The 22,819-nt window shown below is 44.6% G+C and overlaps 1 protein-coding gene across 2 annotated transcripts in view, besides 2 other annotated features; it reads right to left on the reverse strand.

The window, feature by feature from the left end:
- The window catches only part of CCDC3 (coiled-coil domain containing 3), a 203,365-nt gene that overhangs the window by 85,947 nt on the left and 94,599 nt on the right, over positions 1 to 22,819 (reverse strand). The window contains exons 1-2 of one of the 2 annotated variants that reach the window (NM_031455.4): positions 18,626 to 19,142; positions 15,767 to 15,941 (exon numbers count right to left, since the gene is read on the reverse strand). In NM_031455.4, coding sequence (NP_113643.1) covers positions 15,767 to 15,941; positions 18,626 to 18,999 — 549 coding nt within the window. In that variant the 5' untranslated portion in view covers positions 19,000 to 19,142. Of the gene's footprint in view, positions 1 to 15,766; positions 15,942 to 18,625; positions 19,143 to 22,819 lie in introns of those variants that run through there. The other variant, NM_001282658.2, reaches the window with a different exon arrangement.
- Positions 18,271 to 18,771: an enhancer, noted in NCBI's record as "H3K4me1 hESC enhancer chr10:13042842-13043342 (GRCh37/hg19 assembly coordinates)". NCBI's record gives its function as "activates a minimal SCP1, AML or CMV promoter by ChIP-STARR-seq in primed H9 embryonic stem cells {active_cell/tissue: H9 hESC(primed)}" and the evidence as "EXISTENCE:reporter gene assay evidence [ECO:0000049][PMID:30033119]".
- Positions 18,772 to 19,272: an enhancer, noted in NCBI's record as "H3K4me1 hESC enhancer chr10:13043343-13043843 (GRCh37/hg19 assembly coordinates)". NCBI's record gives its function as "activates a minimal SCP1, AML or CMV promoter by ChIP-STARR-seq in primed H9 embryonic stem cells {active_cell/tissue: H9 hESC(primed)}" and the evidence as "EXISTENCE:reporter gene assay evidence [ECO:0000049][PMID:30033119]".

Raw genomic sequence — 22,819 nt, forward strand, 5'->3', positions numbered from 1 at the left:
TCATTTGAGGTTAGGAGTTCAAGACCAGCCTGACCAACATGGTGAAATCCCATCTCTACTAAAAATACAAAAATTAGCTGGGTGTGGTGGCATGCACCTGTAATCCCAGCTACTCAGGAGGCTGAGGCAGGAGAATCACTTGAACCTAGGAGGTGGAGGTTGCAGTGACCAAGATTGCACCATTGCACTCCAGCCTGGGTGACAGAGCAAGACTCTGTCTCAAAAAAAAAAAAAAAAAAAAAAAAAAACCATACCTCTATGCAGGGCACAATGGCTCACGCCTTTAATAACAGCACTTTGGGTGGCCGAGGTGGGCAGATCACTTGAGATCAGGAGTTTGAGACCAGCCTGGCCAACATCGTGAAACCCATCTCCACTAAAAATACAAAAGTTAGCTGGGCATGGTGGCGGGTGCCTGTAATCCCAGCTGCTGAACAGGCTGAGGCACAAGAATGGCTTAAACCCGGAAGGCGGAGGTTCCAGTGAGCCAAGGTCATGCCACTACACTCCACCCTGGGTGATGGCTGTCTCAAAAAATAAATAAATAAATAAAATAGTGTATATATATATATATATATATATATATATATATATATATATATAAAATCTATAGCTCTAAAGGTTTTGGGGTAGAATTAAAAAGAATCTATAGCTATGAGTAGCTTAACAGTTGTGTCTCTAATCCATCTTAACACTGATGCAAAGAAGAATTTGAAAACAGCAGGGAGTGGTGGCTCATGCCTGTAATCCCAGCACTTTGGGAAGCTGAGGCGGGCAGATCACTTCAGGTCAGAAGTTCGAGACCAGCCTGGGCAACATGGTGAAACCTTGTCTCTACTAAAAATACAAAAATTAGCAGGGTGGTGGTGTGCATCTGCAGTCCTAGTTACTCAGGAGGCTGAGGCAGGAAGATCATTTGAGCCTGGGAGGTAGAGGTTGCAGTGAGCCAAGAGTGCACCACTGCACTCCCACCTGGCTTATGTGAGTGAAACCCTCTCTCAAGAAAAAAAAAAAACAAAAGAAAACAAAACGAAAAAAACTTTCAACATACTACAAAGGGAATGTTTACAGTCATAGCTCTAATAAAAAGAAGTGGCAAAAAAAAAAAAAAATGGGCAAAAGATATGAACATTTTACCAAAGAGGCCGGACAGATGGTAAATGTACAGATGAAAAGATGATTGACATCATTAGCCATGAGGGAAATGCAAATTAAAGCCACACTGAGGCTGGGCGCAATGACTCATGCCTGTAATCTCAGTACTTTGGGAGGCTGAGGTGGGCAGATCACTTGAGGTCAGGAGCTGGAGACCAGCCTGGCCAACATGGTAAAACCCTGTCTCTACTAAAAATACAAAAGTTAGCTGGGCATGGTGGTGCATGCCTGTAATCTCAGCTACTTGGGAGACTGAGGTGGGAGAATCACCTGACCCCGGGAGACAGAGGCTGCATTGAGCCAAGATCGTGCCACTGCACTCTAGCCTGGGTGACAGAGCAAGACTCTCTCAAAAAACAAACAAACAAACAAAAAACCCACAGTGAAAAGACAGCACACACAATGGGAGAAAATGTGTACAAATCATACATGTGATAAGGGTTTAGTATCCATAATAAACAAGGAACTATTACAACTCAACAATAAAAAGACAACCTAGTTAAAAATTGGACAAAGGACTTGAATAGACGTTTCTCCCAAAAGGACACTATGCAAATGCCCAATAAGCACCGTAAAGATGCTCGACATCATGAGTCATTAGGGAAATGCCTATCAAAACCACAATGTGATACCACTTGAGTCCCACTAGGATGACTAAAATCATTAAGATAGACAATAACAACTACTAGTGAAGACGTAAAGAAATTGCAACCCTCATACACTGCTGGTGGGCACGTAAAATGGTGCAGCTGCTTTGGAAAACAGTCTGGCTGCTCCTGCAAAGGCTAAACATAGTTACCATCTGACCCAGCAATTCCGCTCCTAGTTAGTTACACACCCATGAAAAATGAAAGCTTATATCCGTACAAAAACCTGTTCATAGCAGCATTATTTATAACAGGCAAGAGTGGAAACAAATCAAATGCCAAACTGCTGAATGAATAAACAAAATGTGATAGCACCATACCATGAAATATTATTCAGCCATAAAAAAGAACAAAGTACTGATTCATACTACAATATGAACGAAGCTTGAAAACATTATGCTAAGTGAGACTTGCCTGAGACAGACAAATCTTACACAATAGTGTAAGATTTTCTGTATATGAGACGTCCAGAGTAGGCAAAGCCATAGAGACAGAAATAGACTAGCAATTGCTGGGGCCTGGAAGAAGCAAAGAACTGAGACTGATCAGTAAAATGGATCTGGGGTTTCTTTTGGGGGTTATAAAATGTTCTGAAGTTAAAAGTGGTGACGGTTACACATATATGTGGATATACTGAAAACCACTTAATTGTACAGTTAGAGACTCAACTGTTTACGCTATTCATAGCTATAGATTTTTTTTACTCTACCCAAAAACTTTTAAAGCTATAGATTTTTTTTAAATTATGGTAAAGAACAAAAAATATGAAATCTACTCTTATCCAGGGTGAGTTTGTGGCATATAAATCGTATCTTAACTTTTTAAAAAGCAAAACCTTAAAACCATAATGAGATAGCACTGCACACCTATCAAAACAGCTAGAATAAGAAATAGTAATTACACCGAATGCTGGCAACGAGGCAGGGAACTGGATGCTTTATCCATTGCTGATAGAAATATAAATGGTACAGGACCTTTGGAAAATTAATTTCAGGGTTTCTTTTAACACTAAAAATAGACTTACCATACAACCCAGCAATGGGACTCTTGGGCATTTATAACAGAGAAGTGAAAACTTATGCCTACACAACACTCTGTACGTGAATGTTCACCGCAACTTTATTCGTAATAGCTAAAAACTGAAAGTTACCGTAATGTCTTTCAGTAGGCAACTCGTTAAGCAATCAGCGGTGCATCTACACCATGGAATACTACCCAGCAATGAAAGGGAATCCAGTAACTTGGATTAACCTCAAGGAAATTATGTTGAATGAAAAAAGACAATCTCCAAAGGCACATATAGTATGATTATATGTACATAACACCTGAAATAACATTATAGATATGGAGAAAAGATTAAGGGTTGCCAGAGTTTAGGGATAGGTGAGGGGAAGGGTAGCTTAAAAGGGGTAGCAGGAAGAAGCCACTTGGTGATGGGACAGTTCTGTATCTTAATTGTGGTGGGGTTACCAAAAGACACACGTGATAAAATTGCATCGAGTTTTTTATTTGTTTGTTTTGGGACGGAGTTTTGCTCTGTCGCCCAGGCTGGAGTGCAGTGGCGCGATCTCGGCTCACTGCAAGCTCCGCCTCCCGGGTTCACGCCATTCTCCTGCCTCAGTCTCCTGAGTAGCTGGGACTACAGGCGCCCGCCACCACGCCCAGTTAACTTTTTTTGTATTTTTTAGTAGAGACAGGATTACAGGCGTGAGCCACCGTGCCTGGCCTCGAGTTTTACACATGTACATAAATGACTGCCTGTGTAACTATCAGGTTGGTGCAAAAAGTAATTGCAGTTTTTTGCCATTTTTGCCATTAAAAGTAATTACTTTTGTACATTTTACAGTAAGATACATGTAATAAACTTGCACAGAGTTTTACACATGTACACAAATGAGTGCCTGTGTAATGACTGAATACTAACATCTGAATAAACTCTGCAGATTTCATCAGTGTCATTGCCTGGTTTTGATATTGCACTACAGTTATACAACATATTAACAGTAGGGGACAAGGGGTGAGGGGTGCCTGGGACCCGTCTGTACATTTCTTTGCAACTGCCTGTGAATCTAAGATTATTCCAAAATAAAATGAATTTTTTAAAAAAGTAATCCCTGTAGGCCGGGCACAGTGGTTCACGCCTGTAATCCCAGCACTTTGGGAGGCCAAGGCGGGCGGATCACAAGGTCAGGAGATGGAAACCACTCTAGCTAACATGGTGAAACCCCATCTCCACTAAAAATACAAAAAATTAGCTGGGCGTGGTGGCGGACGCCTGTAGTCCCAGCTACTCGGGAGGCTGAGGCAGGAGAATGGCGTGACGCGGGAGGCGGAGCTTGCAGTGAGCCGAGATCGTGCCACTGCACCCCAGCCTGGGCGGCAGAGCGAGACTCCGTCTCAAAAAAAAAAAACAAAAAAACAAAAACAAAAACAAAAAAGTAATCCCTGTAAAATAGGAAACTAAAAATGTAACAATAATATAGCATTTGTCCCTGTTTAAGAGTAATAACTGTTTCAATAAAACTTTCATTTGATGGCAAAACAAAAAAGAAAGAAATGATACACCACACACAGTATAGTCACAAATCCTGACCCCTCCTTGCTGGAGGGCAATCTTCTTCGAGTGTGAACTGCCTACACTCAAAAACAAGCCAGGAACTCCCAGTGTGGGTCCACTGACCCGTGCACCCTCATCGGCCCTCCATTCCCTGGTATGCAGCCCTGTCCTCTGCTGTGTGCTGGCTCACCCCAGCGCCTGCACACATCCCTCCCCTGTCTAAATTCATCGTCTCTCACCTCCACCAAATCCTCCCATTTCCTGTGGCCCAGCAGGAGTACCCATCTTTCATGTGGGTTAATTGTATCTCATCACTTGACTTCAGAGACCAGGTCTAATTCTTCCACTACATTCTCCATAACCCATGACACAGTGCTAAGCACGTAGGAAGGATTTTCTATGTGGATGGAATAAACGCCCATCTGCCTGGAGATCTTATGGGATATATGGGGCTATGAGAGCTGTAACATAACGCCTCACACATAACCAATACTCTGTCCTTATTAGTATGTTACCTTTTTTTAAATTATCATTACAGTGATATGGATAAACCACAGTAGGTATATTATAACCAATTTTCAGATAAAGCAACTAACCTCAGAATGGTCAAGTGACACCCAGTTAGAACCCAGAACTCTATTTTAAAACCTATCAAGGACCTGTCTATTCTTGCATCTATCGAGATGCAAATTTCTGCCTTAAAACTATTTTCAACTAGGTATGTTATTAATTAATTCAGGTACAAATATTCCCAAAGGAAGTGTAATATTTTGCAGCACAAAGCATGACATTGGCCAATACCCTGGGGGTGGTCGAGGTGCTGGAGGAAGATGACACAGAGCAAATGTCTTAAAAAGTAGTGACAGCAGTGGTCTGTGATCAAAGACAAATTGGAAGAACACAGGAGAGCGCCCCTTCCAGACATATCCCAGAGCCAGCCATTTCTTCCCAGAGCCACTGCTACCCACTAGTCCAAGCCTCCAGTCTTGCCTAGACAGTTCCAGTGGTTTCCCAACTGGTCTCCCTGCTTCCGCTTTTGCCCCTCAGCAATCTGTGGTTCACTCAGCTGCCAGAGTGTTCCTTTTCTGAAAGGCTCATCACGTCTCACCACGCCGTTCAATGGCTCCCCAAATCACAAAGATCTAATCTTCCCCCACATGCTCAGAAATGTCCACATGATCCAGCCCATGCTCACCTCTCCAAACCCAGCTTGTTCCATTCTCTCCCCACCGCCAATGCTCATTCCTATTTTTCCACCCCTCGAGAAGGCCAAGCCATTTTCACCTTGGGGCCAATTGCAATGGCTTCTTGGTCTGCCTGGCATGCTTTTCTGCCTGATCTTTGTATGGCTGGTTCTGTGTCCTTCAGATTTCAGTTTAAAAGTCATCTCTTCAACCTAAAGTGGCTTCCAATTCCTATTACCTTTTTTTTTTGAGACAGAGTCTCGTTCTTGTCGCCCAGGCTGGAGTACAGTAGTGCAATCTCAGCTCACTGCAATCTCGGCCTCCAAGGTCTAAGCGATTCTGCCTCAGCCTCCTGAGTAGCTGGGATTATAGGTATGTGCCACTATGCCTGGCTAATTTTTGTATTTTTAGTAGAGACAGAGTTTCACCATGTTGGCTAAGCTGGTCTTGAACTCCTGACCTCGAGTGATCTGCCCACCTCAGCCTCCCGAAGTGTCAGGATTACAGGCATGAGCCACCGCGCCCCACCTACCCTCTTTTAATTCTTGGCCAAACACCTATCATTATCTGTTATTTTTCCTATGGACTGATACATTCATTGATGTAGTGACTGTCTCTCCCTCATCCCACTACCACGTAGGTTCAAGGAGGGCCTGGAGCTCTTTTCTCCTGTTCCCTTTTGTATCCCCAGTGACACACTGTAGGTGTTTAGTAAATATATGTAGAATGAAGGTACAAATGAATAAATTAAAAAGACCACCATCCTACCTACTTGCCAGCTTTGGCTCTACTTGGCCAATCAAGTGGCTGAGTAATGACAATCAGAATAAGTTAATAGCCTTCACCTAGAAAGCAGGGAGTAGCACGATTATAAATAGCTCAAAAGCTTTCTGAAAACAGTATATGCTTAGTCACTCTCCAAAGTCCAGATCGAGCCCCCTCAATCCAGAGTCTCCTGAGTCTCAGCCCTGGAATCTTTACAAAGGTCTTCATAGCCCCCTACAATCTGGCCCAACGCTGCCCATGCAGCTGCCCATTATTCAGCAGGGCTAGAAGCCCAGCTCCTGAAATCATTCCAAGCTCAATGTTCACTCAAGGTCTCCTGAAATTCTGGGCCACATACTGAGGTCACAAACCTCCCTTCACTCAGACCATTAAATCCCCCATTCCTTAAGCCCTCGGCTCAGTCAATACCTCCCTTCTACCATGGTCCACCACTGACTTAGTCCAGAGCAGCAGTTCCCCAAGTCTGCAGAATCCTAGGGGGCCCCAGGACCCATTCATTCATTCATTACTCACTCATTCATTCATTTTACTTACTTATTTAGACAAAGTCTCTCTCTGTCGCCCAAGCTGGAGTGTAATGGCACGATCTCAGCTCACTGCAAACTCCACCTCCCGGGTTCAAGCGACTCTCATGCCTCAGCCTCCTGAGTAGCTGGGATTACAGGCACGTGCCACCACACCTGGCTAATTTTTGTATTTTAGGTAGAGACAGGGTTTCACCATGTTGGCCAGGCTGGTCTCTAACTCCTGATCTCAAGTGATCAGCCCACCTCAGTCTCCCAAAGTGTTGGGATTACAGGCGTGAGCCACTGCACCTGGCCCCAGCACCCTTTTAGGCAGTCCATGAGATCAAAACTATTTTCGGAATACTACTAAGATGTTATTTATTTGTCTTTTTCACTGTTTGTCATTTGCGCTGCTGGTGCAACAGCAAGGCAAGTTAAACTGCCAGCCTCATAGCGCAAATCAAGATAGTGGGACCAGATGATTCTAGCAGTCATTGCATTCTTCAGTGCCATGTGCAAGCAGAAAAAAAAAAATGCCAGTTTAATTTAAGAATATCTTCACTGGGCCGGGCACAGTGGCTCACGCCTGTAATACCAGCACTTTGGGAGGCCGAGGCGGGCAGATCATGAGGTCAGGAGATCGAGACCATCCTGGCTAACACAGTGAAACCGCATCTCTACTAAAAATACAAAAAATTAGCCGGGCGTGGTGGCAGGATCCTGTAGTCCCAGCTACAGGCCTCGGGAGGCTGAGGCAGGAGAATGGTGTGAACCTGGGAGGCGGAGCTTGCAGTGAGCCAAGATAGCGCCACTACTGCACTCTGGCCTGGGCAAAAAAGCGAGACTCCGTCTCAACCAAAAAAAAAAAAAAAAAGAATGTCTTCACTGAAGCAGTAAAAATTATTAAATCCTGACTCTTGCATACACATTGTTAATACATGCAAGTGTGAAGAAATGAAGCATACACATAAAGCCCCTCCGCATAGCAAAGTATGATGGTTGTCTCAAGTTCTGAGATGAACTATTGGCTTTCTTCATGAAACACTATTTTTACTTAAAAGAATGAAATGAAGGGCCAAATATATTTATTCAGATTTGGGTATTTGATAGACATTTTCTTGAAGGTGAATAAAGTAAGCTTGTCACTTCAAAGAAAACAACTGACAGTATTGGCTGCCAGTGACTGGGTGTGAGCTCTCAAGCAAAAATTAGAATTTTAAGAAAGTTGCCACTGTGAGTTTGACAGCTTCCCAATACTTAGTCTTTCCCCCATCAGATCAATAGTGGTATTAACAAATATGATTTTTATATTGTATAATTAAATCTCACCACATTTGGAAGGTCTGCATAACATGGTAAAACTACTATTTTCCAAATGGTCAATGCGTCATGTTATGAAATCATGCATGAGTAAGAAATCCATTCAAAGTACAAGATAGGCCAATGTATTTTCATGTAGGAATACAGAAAGTTCATTGATAAGGTTTCAGATTCTACATTATAGCACATTTTTAAGATACTACCACTTTTGAGTTTGGGTGCAGTATCAAAGAAGAATAAAGAAACAGAGACACTTAACAGGTGCTCAAATACTTGTTGACCATAAGCTACACTTCTCCATCTCTAAGGAATGAGTATCTTTGTTTTTGACCAAATGATCTGTTAAACTTGAGGATCTCAGCACACTTGCGGGGATACCTTTAAATTGTTCTAGAGCCCTTTCTGAAAAATGTGAATGAAATGAGTTCTATCTGATTTTTAGTCTATTTGGGGTTCAAACCTCGCTTTAGAAACTACAGATCCTGTCCCATTCCTATTTGCTTTTGATCATCAAAAAATAAACACTGTTCATTTTTTCCCTCCGTGCTATATATTCCACCAAAGCTTGAACATATGTTTTTTTTGTTGTTGTTGTTTTGTTTTTTTTTCCTTGAGAGGGAGTCTTGCTCTGTTGCCCAGACTGGAGTGCAGTGGCATGATCTCAGATCACTGCAACCTCTGCCTCCTAGGTTCAAGCGATCCTCCTGCCTCAGCCTCCCAGGTAGCTGGGATTACAAGCATGTGCCACCATGCCTGGCTAATTTTTGTGTGTTTAGTAGAGACGGGGTTTCACCATGTTGTATCACCATGTTGGCGAGGCTGGTCTCAAACTCCTGACCTCAAGGGATCTGCCCACCTCAGCCCCCCAAATTGCTGGGATTACAGGCTTGAACCACCAATCCTGGCTTTGAACACACGTTCTTAATGGAGCCAGTCAGATAGAAATGTCAACTCCAGCGCCAGTCAAGATGAAGCAAGCCAACCATGGCCTATGATTCCCACTGATTTTAACTGAAATCTCTGCATATAGTTTTAAAAACTCCAAAACCTTACCTACCTGAACTCTGAACACTAAACAGTTAGAAGCAATGCGGGGATCTGACCCAAAAAGGGCTGAATCATGGAGCTGTGCAGCAAAAACTCCAGGAGAAATCCTTATTATGGACAAAGGCCTTGTTTTCTGTCTCTTTCTTATCTTTTTTTCTCACCCAGTCTAGCCCTCAGGCCATGCATATGGAAAGATCTCCCAGATCTACTCATGAATTAAGCAAGGTGTAGTGAAGTGTACACAGTGTGTTGCCATTTGTGTCAAAGACGGTGGTAATAACACATATTTGGATTAAAAAAAAAAAAAGAAAGAAAAAACAAAAACTCCATTGAGGACCAACTGCAGTGGCTCACACCTATAATCCCAGCATTTTGGGAGGCTGAGGTGGGTAGATCACTTGAGGTCATGAGTTTGAGACCAGTCTGGCCAACATGGTGAAACACCATCTCTATTAAAAATACAAAAATCAGCTGGCCGTGGTGCTGGGCGCCTGTAGTCCCAGCTACTCAGGGGGCTGAGGCATGAGAATCGCTTGAACCTCACTGCGGAGGTTGCAGTGAGCTGAGATTGCGCCACTGCACTCCAGCCTGGGCAGCAGACCAAGACTCCATCTCAAAAGAAACAAAACAAAACAAAACCAACAACTCCATTGAGATAAAGAAAATGTATTTTATATATGTCATGGAATACTACTCAGCCATAAAAAGGAATGAAATAATGGCATTCGCAGAGATCCGGATGGAACTGGAGACCACTATTCTAAATGAAGTAACTCAGGAATGGAAAATCAAACATTTTATGTTCTCACTCATAAATGGGATCTAAGCTATGGGGACGCAAAGGCATAAGATTAAGAATGGACTCTGGGGACTCGGTGGGAAGGGTGGGAGAGGGTGAGGGATAAAAAAGACTACACACTGGGTACAGTATACACTGCTCACGAGATGGGTGCACCAAAATCTCAGAAATTACCACTGAAGAATTGATTCGTGCAACCAAACACCACCTGTTCCCTAGAACTGACTGAAATAATGATTTTTAAAACACCACTGACTGTCTATAAAGGAAACTAGTAACAGTGGCTACTTATTTGGAGGATTTGTGGGGACTGGGTGGATGGGTGTCAGAGGTAGTAGAGACCCCACGTGAGTGTGTTATCTGTTGATAATTCAATACACTATATTTTTAAATGTCATCCTTGCACAGAACCCAATCGATTCTGTTGAATGAAAAAAGTGCAGAAGATAGCTTCCCTTCCATCCGTTCCCATCTCCAGCACAAACCCCTGTTACTACTGATGTTGCCACTACTCCATGGGATGTTTCAGGACCCCCTGGACGGGAGCAGGCAGCTTTTCAAATTCTTTTTCAATGTGGTTTTTAAAGCAATACTTGAGAATAATCAGCTTCCAGTAATAAGCCCTTGCATCACTCTAGAAAGTGTTTTCAAAAGTATGTTCTAATTAGGTCCTGAGACAATACCCTGAGACAGTTTATCTGTTCTAGGTTCTATTTTATAGAAGGGAAAACTGAAGTTGTGGGAAGTTAGGGGATCTGCCCACGGTCATTCCTCTGGAAATGGCAGAGCCGATCAAGGTCTTCTGATTACAAGTTGAGCTTAGAGAAGGGTAACACCCCTATCATCCTTCCCAACTCCAAAAGAAGAAAGAAGAAAATGATAGCAAGATCTCCACAGATTTTCCTTCCATTCCATGACATTTTATGACAGACTGACATAAGTATGGGTCAGTCTGGGTCTTGGTCCTAGGGGACAGTAACGGCAGAGAGGGAAAAATATCCAAATTCTGTTTTGACTGTTGCACTTGTCCAGCAAGAGAGAAATGAGGAAGGAAAAATGTCCTTGGCTGGTGTGGAAAGAAATCTGCCAGTAAATCTGGTGGATGTTCCAACGTGCCAAAGATATCCCCCCAAGTCCTATTAACACCATGACACCGAACCAGAGAGGCGGTGAACACGTACTAACACTGCTGACATCTTGGCAGCTTTTGAAAGAAAGATCCCGTTGCTATTTACTAATGCGTGGGTGGGATATTTGAAGATGGAGAGGTGCTGGAAAGGAACCAGAGTGTGGGAGGACTTTGCTCCCAAGGACTGAGTTGAATGTCACCCTGCATATGCTTTGCAAAAGTTTCCCTCCGTAAGATTTCCCCCTCTTCCATCTCCTACCCTCCAAATCGACCCTAGAGTCCCAGATCCTCCAACAGAGAGAAAGTGAGAACTATCAGGGAAGAGAATGAAATGTGCCCTTCATATCTACAGTCCAGATCCACTGTCCAAGCTGAATGGAAACTTAAAGAACAGCAGCATCAACAGCATCTAGAGGTGGGGCATGGTGGCTCACGCCTGTAATCCCAGAACTTTGGGAGGCCAAGGCAGGAGGGTCACTTGAGGCTGGGAGATCGAGACCAGCCTGGCCAACATGGTGAAACCCCATCTCTACAAAAAATACAAAAATTAGCTGGGCATGGTGGTGGGTGCCTGTAATCCCAGCTACTTGGGAGGCTGAGGTAGAAGTATCACTTGAACCTGGGAGACAGAGGCTGCAGTAAGCCGAGATTGCATCACTGCACTCCAACCTGGGCAACAGAGCAAGACTCCGTCTCAAAAACAAAACAAAACAAAAAAAAAAAACACCCAGCACCCAGCACCCAGCACCTAGAAAGTCCAGGAGCACATGGGATGCCTGCAGGGTCTGTAATTGAAGATCGGCACATAATACAAGAAAGTATCCTAAGCAAAGTCCCAGGCCCTTCATAACTGCTCTTAGAATATGCGGAGTGTTAGCGTGTTCTGATTAACAAAAGTCTAACATCTATTCTTACTGGAATAAAAGAGTGATCATAACAGCAATTCTGACCCCTCCCCTAAGGTTAAGGAACAATGTTGACTGCTTCTGACATAACATGGTGTATTTATCCTGGGTAGGATAATTTGATGCTTGCCTTCCCACAGAAAAAGAAACGCTTAAAGTTTTTGGGTTTTTTTAAGAAAAAAGCAGCAAGTAGGCCAGGCACGGTGGCTCACGCCTGTAATCCCAGCACTTTGGGAGGCTGAGGCAGGTGGATCATCTGAGGTCAGGAGTTCAAGACCAGCCAGGCCAACATGGTGAAACCCCCTCTCTACTAAAAATACAAAAATTAGCCAGGTGTGATGGCACATACCTGTAATCCCAACTACTTGGGAAGCTGAGGCAGGAGAATCACTTGAACCCTCGGAAGTGGGGATTGCAGTGAGCCGAGATCATGCCATTGCACTCTAGCCTGGTCTACAGAGTGAGACTCCATCTCAAAAGAAAAAAAAAAAAAAGAAGCAAGTAGTAGTCAATAATTCACAACTATTTTAATCACTCCAGGGTATGTAAAAATATCTTAGGGAGCATCAGAAAACTTTAAAAAGTCAATGTAATTTTAATTTCAAATTAAGTTTTAAACTAATGGGCTAATTTTTCTTGTTTTGCTTTGTTTTGAGACAGAGTCTTGGTCTGCTGCCCAGACTGGAGTGCAGTGGCACGATCTCTGCTCATTGCAACCTCTGCCTCCCAAGATCAAATGATTCTCCTGCCTCAACATCCTAAGTAGCTGGGATTACAGGCGCGTACCACCATCCTCAGCTAATTTTTGTATTTTTAGTAGAGATGGAGTTTCACCATGTTGGCCAGGCCGGTCTTAAACTCCTGACCTCAAGTGATCCGCCGACCTCGGCCTCCCAATGTGCTGGGAATACAGGCGTGAGCCACTGCAATCAGCCCACAATGGGCTAATTTTATGTAGCTTTGATGTGGTCCCTTTCAAAGTGGGTAGGGAGTAAAAACGGCACAAGCAGAGGTCTGGAAACGTGCAGAGTCCCTCAGATTGAACTAAATTCTGCTCCACAGCAGCTCAGCAAAGTGAAATAATGATCTTCCTCACCTCAAGTTTCCACTTTTTCTCTGAGCCTGGAATGCTCCCACACTTTGTTATCTAAGAGGCCAGGGTGATTCAAGGGAAAGGGAAAAGGAATTCTCCCCCAAGATCAACATCTGATCAACAGAAATAGATCTGCCTTCAGGCTGAAACAATTCTCCACGGTCCCATTGTTCTTTGTTTTTCCCAAATGATGGAAAAATCTAATTCCAGAAAAATGTTAGTAGCTAGATTGTGACCATAGTGCTAAGAAGTTATGTAGCTTAAGATTTTAAGGGCTAACCTATTAAAGATCAGAATAATATCTGATCTCTTGACATAAATCTATTATATAGTCATATAAACAAAGCTCCCACAAGATGGGGAACAAAAGGGCCAAGCCTAAAAAGCCTTCGCTTGGAAGAAATTAAGTATGACTCGGGCTTGGGATGCTCAGGCTTAGACTTGCTGGGTCCAACTCAATATGGAGTAGGCAACAGTAATGATTAAGAAGGAGAAAAGGAAGAATAAAAACAGGTGCTTAGAACCACATTGGGAGCAAACTACATGAGAAGCGTTCAGAAAGTTCTAACTTTCTAACCATCAGGGAGGGGTTAGAAAAGTCTAGACTGCTGTCAGTAGGGCAGAGCTGAGGAATGTATGTTTGTTTGTTTCTTTGAGATGGAGTCTTACTCTGTCGCCCAGGCTGGAGTGCAATGGTGTGATCTCGGCTCACTGCAACCTCCGCCTCCTGAGTTCAAGCGATTTTCCTGCCTCAGCCTCCCGAGTAGCTGGAATTAGAAGCACGCACCACTCTGCCCAGCTAATTTTTGTATTTTTAGTAGAGACAGGGTTTCGCCATGTTGGCCAGGCTGGTCTTGAACTCCTGACCTCAGGTGATCCCCCCACCTCGGCCTCCCAAAGTGCTGGGATTACAGACATATGTCAAAGAAGAAGAAATCCTTTCCCTTAGTTGGACGTACCAGCCCTTCACAGGAATAGCTTCTGTGCAAGAGCATGAAGAAGGCCTCCAGGGTCCAGGGAGCCCTGGGAGAAGCTCCCTTTGAATCTCCCTTTGAAGCGGGTTTGAATCCTGTCCTTTGCAGACATGGATGCAGCTGGAGGCCATTATCCTAAGCAAATGAACGCAGGAACAGAAACCCAAACACTGCATGTTCTCACTTATAATGGGAGCTAAACATTGAGTACACATGGACACAAAGATGGCAACAATAGACACGGGGGCCTACGTGAGGGTGGGAGGAGGGTGAGGATGGAAAAACTACCTCTCAGGTACTGTGCTCACTACCTGGGTGCGAAACGATTGGTATACCAAACCCCAGTGGCACGCAATTTACCCACGTCATAAACCTACACACGTACCCCCTGAACCTAAAATAAAAGTTGGAAGGAAAACAAAATAAAAAAGACAATAAGGGGATTCGGAAGAACAAGGCAGCTACCCTAGGCCATCCCACCAGACAAGAGAAAGACACTTCCCTCAAACCCTTCTTGATGGGTGGAAAGAAGGGAGTCTCTTAACATGTGCAAATGGGTTCGTTAATGGAAAAAAAAAAAAAAAGTCCTTATTCCATGTGATACCCACATCAGAACTCTCTCTCCAGCAGTGTGTCACATTGCCCTAAAAATGTCTTCAATCGGGGACCGGAAGAGATGGGTCACAGCCCCAGAGGCCTAGACTGGCCTGGCCCCCACTATCATCCCAACTTGGTTGTGGCAAAGCCCATTGCTTTGGAAGAGTGATGATCATCAAAATGTTCCTCCAACTCTGGCATTTGGCCCAGATCGGAAGACTCTTTTATATTTTCATTCCCAACCCTTACGATCCCGACCCTTACATTTTGCAACCACCTTGGCCATCCTGCACCTCTATGTCTTACCAACTATAGTTAAGAATCACAGAAGTGGTAGCTATGATAGCAATTTCATTTCATTTCCCTCAGCACTTTTCCTTTCCTCTAAGACAATTTCTTAGGGCCCTGTGCTGTCCATGACAATCATACACAGTCAGGAACAGTCGTAACGGCTCACATGTATTGAGCACTTACTCTTTTAAGCATTACGCTAACGGATTTACATAATTATAGTTTTTACATATTTAAATCATATTGCATTAGCCCTCTGACATAGATCAGGGGTGTCCAATCTTTTGGGCCCCATTGGAAGAAGAATTGTCTTGGGCCACACATAAAATACACTAACACTAACGATAGCTGATAAGCAAAAAAAAATTGCAGAAAAATCTCGTAATGTTCTAAGAAAGTTTACAAATTTGTGTTGGGCCACATTCAAACTGTCCTGGGCTGCAGGTTGGACAAGCCTGATATAGATGCTACTATTGTCCCTGTTCTGTAGAAGAGGAAACTGAGGCTCAGCATGCCAATCTTCATCTCATCTTGTTCTCATACTTTGGGAAGAACTCCTTATCCAACAGTAAAGCTTCAGGGATCCAAAGTTTATGAATGGTCTTTTTTAACAGCTGGGAGGTAAGGAGGGATAGCAGGAGAGAGAGAGGGCATACGCTAATACTCTCTGATCTGGGCTTTTGGAAGAGTATTCTTGATTCCTTTGGTCACAAAATTCACACAAGGTGTAGCTATACTATTGTTTTGCTGTGGCACAGGATTTAGCCAATTCTTACCCTACTGTCTTCCTGGATTTCCCAGTCACTGGAGAAAGTCGCCAGCTGCTGCCCTTGCGAACAGTTTGAAAACTGGAAAAGGCTAGAAAACATCCTTCTGTTCTCTTGAGTGTCTGGGAAGATGGCATCTTGGAAATTGACTCCGTGAGGCAAGAGGTTATAATTTTCATCCATCCTAATGGAGGAAAAAAAGGCAGACATGTAGGCTAGACAGTCAAGGGTGTACCAGCTCCAATCCAGAGTCACAGACAACTGCAACGGGCTTGCCAATTTCACATCAATGTCTGGCATGGCTCTCATTAGAGGAGTTACTACTTCTAATTATTTCTTTGTCTCACGCTACATCAGTCTATCCTTAAGGTTTTCAAAAAGATGAGTTTGAGCAAAGTATGGAGAAAACTATGTGTATGGTGCCTGTTTGTCTATTTGTGTTGTCTTCCAAGTCCCCCAAGGGGTCTTCCTTCTCAAAGAGTGTTCCTTATTTCCTGGTGAAAAAAAGGCCAGCTGTCATCACCTATGTTTAAGTTCTGTCTTTGCTATTTATCTTCTGTATGACATGAAACAAATGTCTTAACTCCTCTAAGCTTCAGTATTCTAATCTGCAAAAAGAATATAGTACTGGCTAGGTGCGGTGGCTCACACCTGTAACCCCAGCACTTTGGGAGGCCAAGGCAGGTGGATCACCTAAGGTCAGGAGTTCGAGACCAGCCTGGCCAACACAGTGAAACCCTGTCTCTACTAAAAATACAAAAATTAGCTGGGCACGGTGGCACACACCTGTAATCCCAGTTACTCAGAAGGCTGAGGCAGGAGAATCACTTGAACCTAGGAGGCGGAGGATGCAGTGAGCAGAGATTGCACCATTGCACTCCAGCCTGGGTGACAAGAGTGAGACGCCATCTCAAAAAAAGAACATATATAAGTAAAAAATAGTACCTACTTTTCTGGTGATGTCATAAGCATTGCATCAAAAACCTAAGTAAATGAAGCACTTGGTACAAAGTAAATGCAGTATGCATGTTAGTGAACACATTTAAAGGCCTAGCATTAATCAATTAGAATGATTCTTTAAAATGTCACAAAAAGAAAGAGATGAAAGTTACACTCCAGTCTACAGAAAACACGTAGGGCTCACCAGCAAGTCTCCGTTGCCACCCTCACCCCTGACAGTGACCACAGGTCCAGTTTCATCTCAGTGGGTCCCAGAATAACAGAGAAGGAATGATTTGTGTGTAGTTGTTAACACACTCCAAGGCAAGACAGCCCTGTGAAATGAAAATGTCAGACTACTGTCTTTGTATTTCTGCCCTAACTTTTGTAAACATGGTAGAGCAAAAAAGATGAGAATTGGCTGAGCACCACGGAACTATTGGACAAACTGTATTTCATGATAAAAATTTCTTTAAAAAGCCTGCTCAAACACTTGGGCTCTTTTTCCTTTGGAGAACAAAGTTCTGGTTTTGAATAGTTTTATAGATGGTTTCTCAGTATCTTTCCTAATTAAAAACATGAAACCCTAAGTTTCTCTGTATCGAGAAGGGCACTCTCTCAGTCTCACTGGCTTTATTTAGAAACTACACTTCTCTGGAAATACATACATATATATAAAAACTTAATCTAGCTGAACCACTCAAGCCAACACAAAGCAAGACGTGTTTTTTAAACTTAGATATTCTGGCTTCAATATGGAAAACATGTGTTGCCATGCACTTACAAACACCACTTTGTAGAACTGTTTTCTTTCTCAGAGAAATGCGAGCTAAAAGTGAATCTGCAGACCCACGTCAGCCTCATTCCAAATATCCTCAGTGCTACTTCCCAGACTGGGAAAACGAACTACAACCGATCACCCCAACAGTGGATTAATTTACTATCTTGATAGATAGGTTAGATTCCATTTTGATGTTTTTCTCAGTTGTTTTATATCACTCTCCAAATTCCAACTGAAGCTAACCAAAGAATTTAGAGTTCTACCTGGCACTCTCTATTCAAATTTCAGAAGAATTCAGTAGTCAATGAGAATTGACTGAATTCTTAGGCAGATGCATTCCATCTTGACCACAGGCCAAGTTCTGAAGTTCATGGAACTTCAGAAGATTCCAGTGGTCTATAATCAAAGAGGACCTCCTGGCCTGGTTCACCTCTCCACTCCTCAAAGCATTGCTACCCAGGATTTTACCAGCAGCAGAACCCCAAGCCCTAGTAAACCTTTGCTATTTCAAAGAACCTGGCAGCTGATATGAGACAGTGAAGCAATCCCGGGCTACATTCCACACCATTCACATCTTGGCATTTGAGCAAATGAGGAAGAGGAGAGAGTGGACAGCTGGTCAACTTCTAACCTGCACCAGGTGCTTTGCATGAGTTACGTTCCTCACTCAACCAGCCCTGTCTCTCACTTTACACAGGTGAGGCTATGGAAGTTCTTGAGAAGGTGTCAAGAAATGCGCTCAGAATCACGGTTAGGAAGGGCAGAGCCAAAATGCCAGCCACAGACTGATTTCAAAGATTGTTTTTCTCACCGTCCCAATCTACTCCCACTGAGGCCAGTTTAAAAACCCAAGTCAAAGGGACTGTTGGAGGGCGCTTTGAGCTTCTGTCTGCAATGCTCTTCTGTGTACAAGGCACAGAAACCTTCCCTGTCTTTTAAACCGCCTTAACCAGGGGTAGTCAGGATGTCTGTAGAGACGTCAGACGGAGCAAGAAAGATCCAAGAAGGCAAGGGGTAGGCGCCCCAGGGGCATTCTCACTTGACACCGACAGGCTGCCCGGGGAGTTACCGGCCTGGCTCTAGGTAACGGCGACCTCGGGAGGTGGCGCAGAGAGAGAGAGAGGTGGCGGCGGCGCCGCCGGGCTCACCTGAGGAAGAAGAAATAGGAGTAGTCCTGGACCACGGTGTGGGAGTGGCACGAGAAGTAGCCCAGGCCGGTGAGGTTGAGCCTGGAGCCGGCGGGCACCTCCAGCATGCTGCCCCACGCCTGGTCGCACAGCATCTCGACCTCGGCCGAGTAGAAGAGGCCCCCCTGGCCGGCGTGGTACTGCCAGGGCAGGTGGTTGTAGAGGCCGGGCGCCTCGGGGTGCAGCGCCAGCACCCTGGCGTACACGATGGTCTCGGCCAGCTCGGCGCGGCAGCCCTCGCTCAGGGGCCTCCACTCGGAGGGCAGCTGGCAGGCGCGCGCGGGCGCTGGGGGACCCGCCAGGCAGAGCGCGGCGAGCAGCAGCTGGCGCAGCATGCCGGGCCCTCCCGGGGCGCACGGGGCGGCGGCGGGGAGCCCGGGGAGCCCGCCGGCCCGGGAAGGGCAGCCCTGGGCGCTCGGCTGCTCGGGCCGCTCCCGGGAGCTGAGCGCACCGCTGTCTCCGCCACGGGGCTCGGCATGCCCGGCCCTGGCGCGCCACGCTTTAAAAGGGTCCCGGGGACTGGACGCGCCGGGCGCCCGCCTCCCGCCCTGCCCCCTGCGGCTGGGGCGTGGGCGGGGGAGGGGCGGGGAGTCGGGCGGGTCCCGGCGCCGGCTGGGGCGGGGACCAGGGACTCGGAGAACGCGGGGACGCCGGGACCCAGCCCTGAATTGGGGACAGTGGCCCAGCAATCTCCTGGCGCCCCACGATGGACGTGGTCCGAGCTTGCCAGGCGTAAAGCCTGTTTGCAAACGCAAGGCATTCATTAAAGAATGACTCTTAATTTGCACGATTACTGCCTAAGTTTTTACATTTTCTCTACATTTCAGAGTAAAAATACATAGAAACCAAATCTGACTTTATATTCCCAGAGATTAGGAAATTCAGTGTGGGCTGAGATCTCGTGCTCTCTCAGATTTGCTAGTTATTTAATGAAGATCTTAGAAAAGCTTTGATAAAAGATTCCAAAAAGCAATCATTTGGCCCTGATTTTCTTGGTTTCCATAATCCCTGATTCCATTTTCTAAACACTGTACACCTGAGAAATACATTCAGAAGTAAATCCCAAACAGCTTTTCACATCAGTGAGTGAATTTGAGGATACTGACTCCACAGTTCCATCTTTATCTCTAAAGGCAACAGGTTTTTTGTTTTGTTTTTTGTTTTTTTCTTGAGACAAGGTCTATATCTGTCACCCAGGCTGGAGTACAGTGGCTCCATCAGGGCTCACTGCAGCCTCGACCTCCCCTGGGCTCAGGTGATCCTCCCAGGTCAGTCTCCCAAGTAGCTGGGAATACAAGCACACTGCCACCCCGGATAATTTTTTGTTTTTAGTAGAGACAGGCTATGTTGCTCAGGCTGGTCTCAAACTCCTGGGCTCAATCGATCCTCCCACCTCAGCCTCCCAAAGTGCTGAACTTTCAGGCGTGAGCCCCCACATCCACCCTGAATATTTAAATTATGCAATTTCATAATGCTATTAGTCTCCCAGGGCTGCCATAATAAAATACTCTAGTCTGGTGGCTTAAATAACAGACCTTACTTTCTCAGAGTTTTGGAGGCAGGAAGTCCAAGATTAAAGTGCTAGGGTTGGTTACTGGTGAGGCCTCTCTTCCTGGCTTACAGACGGCCACCTTCTCACTGTGTCCTCACGTGGCCTTCTCTCTGTGTGTGATGGAGAAAGAGTGAGCCCTGGTCTCTTCCTCTTCTAACAAGGTCACTAGTCCTATGGGGTTATCACCCCACCCTTATGTCCTCATTTAATTACCTGCCTGAAGACCCTATTTCCAAATACAGTCACATTAGGGAGTTAGCACTTCAACATATGAATTTGGAGGTGGGAGGGGAGACATAATTCAGTCTATATGAGCTATTTAGCAGGTGTTCTGCAGGTTTGCTAGAGAAAGAGAGCAGGGATCCCAAATGGTTTATATTCCTGGCAGGCAGACTCACAGCACACACTGCCAAGTTATAATAAGAATTGCTAAACCTTAGTCATTGTTGACCATGGGCCAATCACTGTTGTAAGGACTGTACATATGTCATCTTAATAAATTCTCCAAACAATATTCTGAAGTAGATATAACTATTATCCTCATTTTACAGATAACAGGCACAGAGAAGTTAATTGACACCAAAGATCACAAAGCTACAAGTTGACCAAGCTAGGATTCAGCTCCCAGCAATCAGACTCCAGATCCATGTACTTAACTACAACACTAGAATAGGGCCAAATATAGGAAATGCTCTAAAGACACAGGTCGGCCCTTTAACCAGGATATACACAGAGCAAATTAAGAGAAAACCTTAGCAGAGTCACCAATGATGGCTCAAGGAGTGTGCAACTGACCTAACATTAATTTTGTATGACCCAGAATCCCTGCTCTATTTTAGTCCTATACTGTAACTCATCAGATAAGATAGTAAGAAAGTTTTTCTTACTAACTGCATCTTCAAGTGTCTTGAAGGCCTGGAAAAGATTTGTCTACCCCAAAAGACTGTAAGGCCCTCTCTTTTCTTTCCACATAGGTGAGCAAATAAATAAAAATCAGCAAACATGGCTGTTTTTTCTCTTGTTGTATAAACTTGACAGAATCAAAACTCTTCCAATACTTCCCACAGTGTATTTTGCAGAAGTGAGCACCTGCAAGAAATCGTCCTCATGGATTCAGCAGACACATCAGTCATGCTTTTCTCCCCTGTAAGATCTGGCAGAGTGCCTCACTGATTGGGTTTCTCTTCCTGATTGAGCCATTGCAGTGTACCGTAGTGAGCAGTTCCTCTTTGGGGACTAAGACTTCCAAACAAGCAGAGCTCAAGGTAGCCAGGAGGGGAAACAAAACTTCTGTGAGTGAATTATTGGGTTTAATAGTGACATGAGCCACTTCCATCTCTTGATTCCGAGACCTATATGTCCTGGCTGTGGGGTGGATAGTACCGTATATGTATGTTCTGTTTCAAAGCACACACAGTAAGTACACTTTAAGATGGACTCCATCATTTCAGTGTGGTGACTCCCAACTGACACTATAATTAAGTCTTCACTAAACTGTTACATCCTTCAAAATTTGTCCAGTTGCTTCCAGGTGATGGGACATGTGGTAAAACCAGTTAATTCTATGGCCTTGAGACCACTGCTGCACTTCATTGCTGTGAAAGAAGCAATGCTGTGGGAATCATTGATCAGAAACATCACTATGGGAAATTCCATGATGGTGGATAAGGTGCCCCATGAGTCCATAGATGGTGCTACTGGCAGAAGCATTATGGCAGGGAAGGCATATCCGTGTCCAGAATGTGTCTATTTCAGTGAGGACAAATCTCTGACCCCCACCCCCCACCCCAAGATGGAAAAGGTCCGATGGAATCAACCTGCCACCAGGTGGCTGACTAGTTCCCCAGGTGAATGGGGCCACATTAGGGGATCCATGTTGGCCTCTATTGTTGACATATTAGGCTCTCAGCAGTAGTAGTAGTGTTAGCTAGGCCAGCCGTGGTAAGAGGAAGTCCACATTGTTGAGGCAATGAATACCCTCTGTTTCTGCCACCATGGCCACTCTGTTTATGGGCTCATTGAGTAAGCAGTAGAGTGGCCAAGAAAAGAGACTGACAGACACCCACTGAGTACATCAATTGCCCACCTAATCACTAAGAACTTCCCCTCCACTGAATGCACTTTGGTCATCATTCACATGGGTCACAAATATCTTCACACTTGGTAACCGTTATAAGATGTCCATTCATTCACCTCTTCCCAAGATGTCCTTGTCATCAATCTTCTGATCCTATTTCTTTCAAGTCCCTAACCATCAACCAAACCACTAGCAACTGCCCACGAATCAGTGTCCATGTGTACTCCCAGCCCTCTCTTAGTCTAGACATAGCATACAACAAAATCTGCTGCTCAAAGTTCTATCGACTGGGAGAATTTTTCTTCACCAGTGTCCTTCAGGATCACCCATGAGTGAAACTGAGTAATATCTGTGTGTAATACAGAAAAATCTTCAAACCAGTCTTGTTATTTCTTCCTCATTCAACTGGAGTATCTTCAAGAGGCCATAAACCATATGAGTGGAAGAGGCAACGTACCTTCAGAGTCAAAGGAATCTAAGCCACTTGCCCATGCAACTTGCTTGCACCATCTGGACCTGCCCAATC

Source organism: Homo sapiens, chromosome 10, assembly GCF_000001405.40.
Source record: "Homo sapiens chromosome 10, GRCh38.p14 Primary Assembly".
Lineage (NCBI taxonomy): Eukaryota > Metazoa > Chordata > Mammalia > Primates > Hominidae > Homo > Homo sapiens.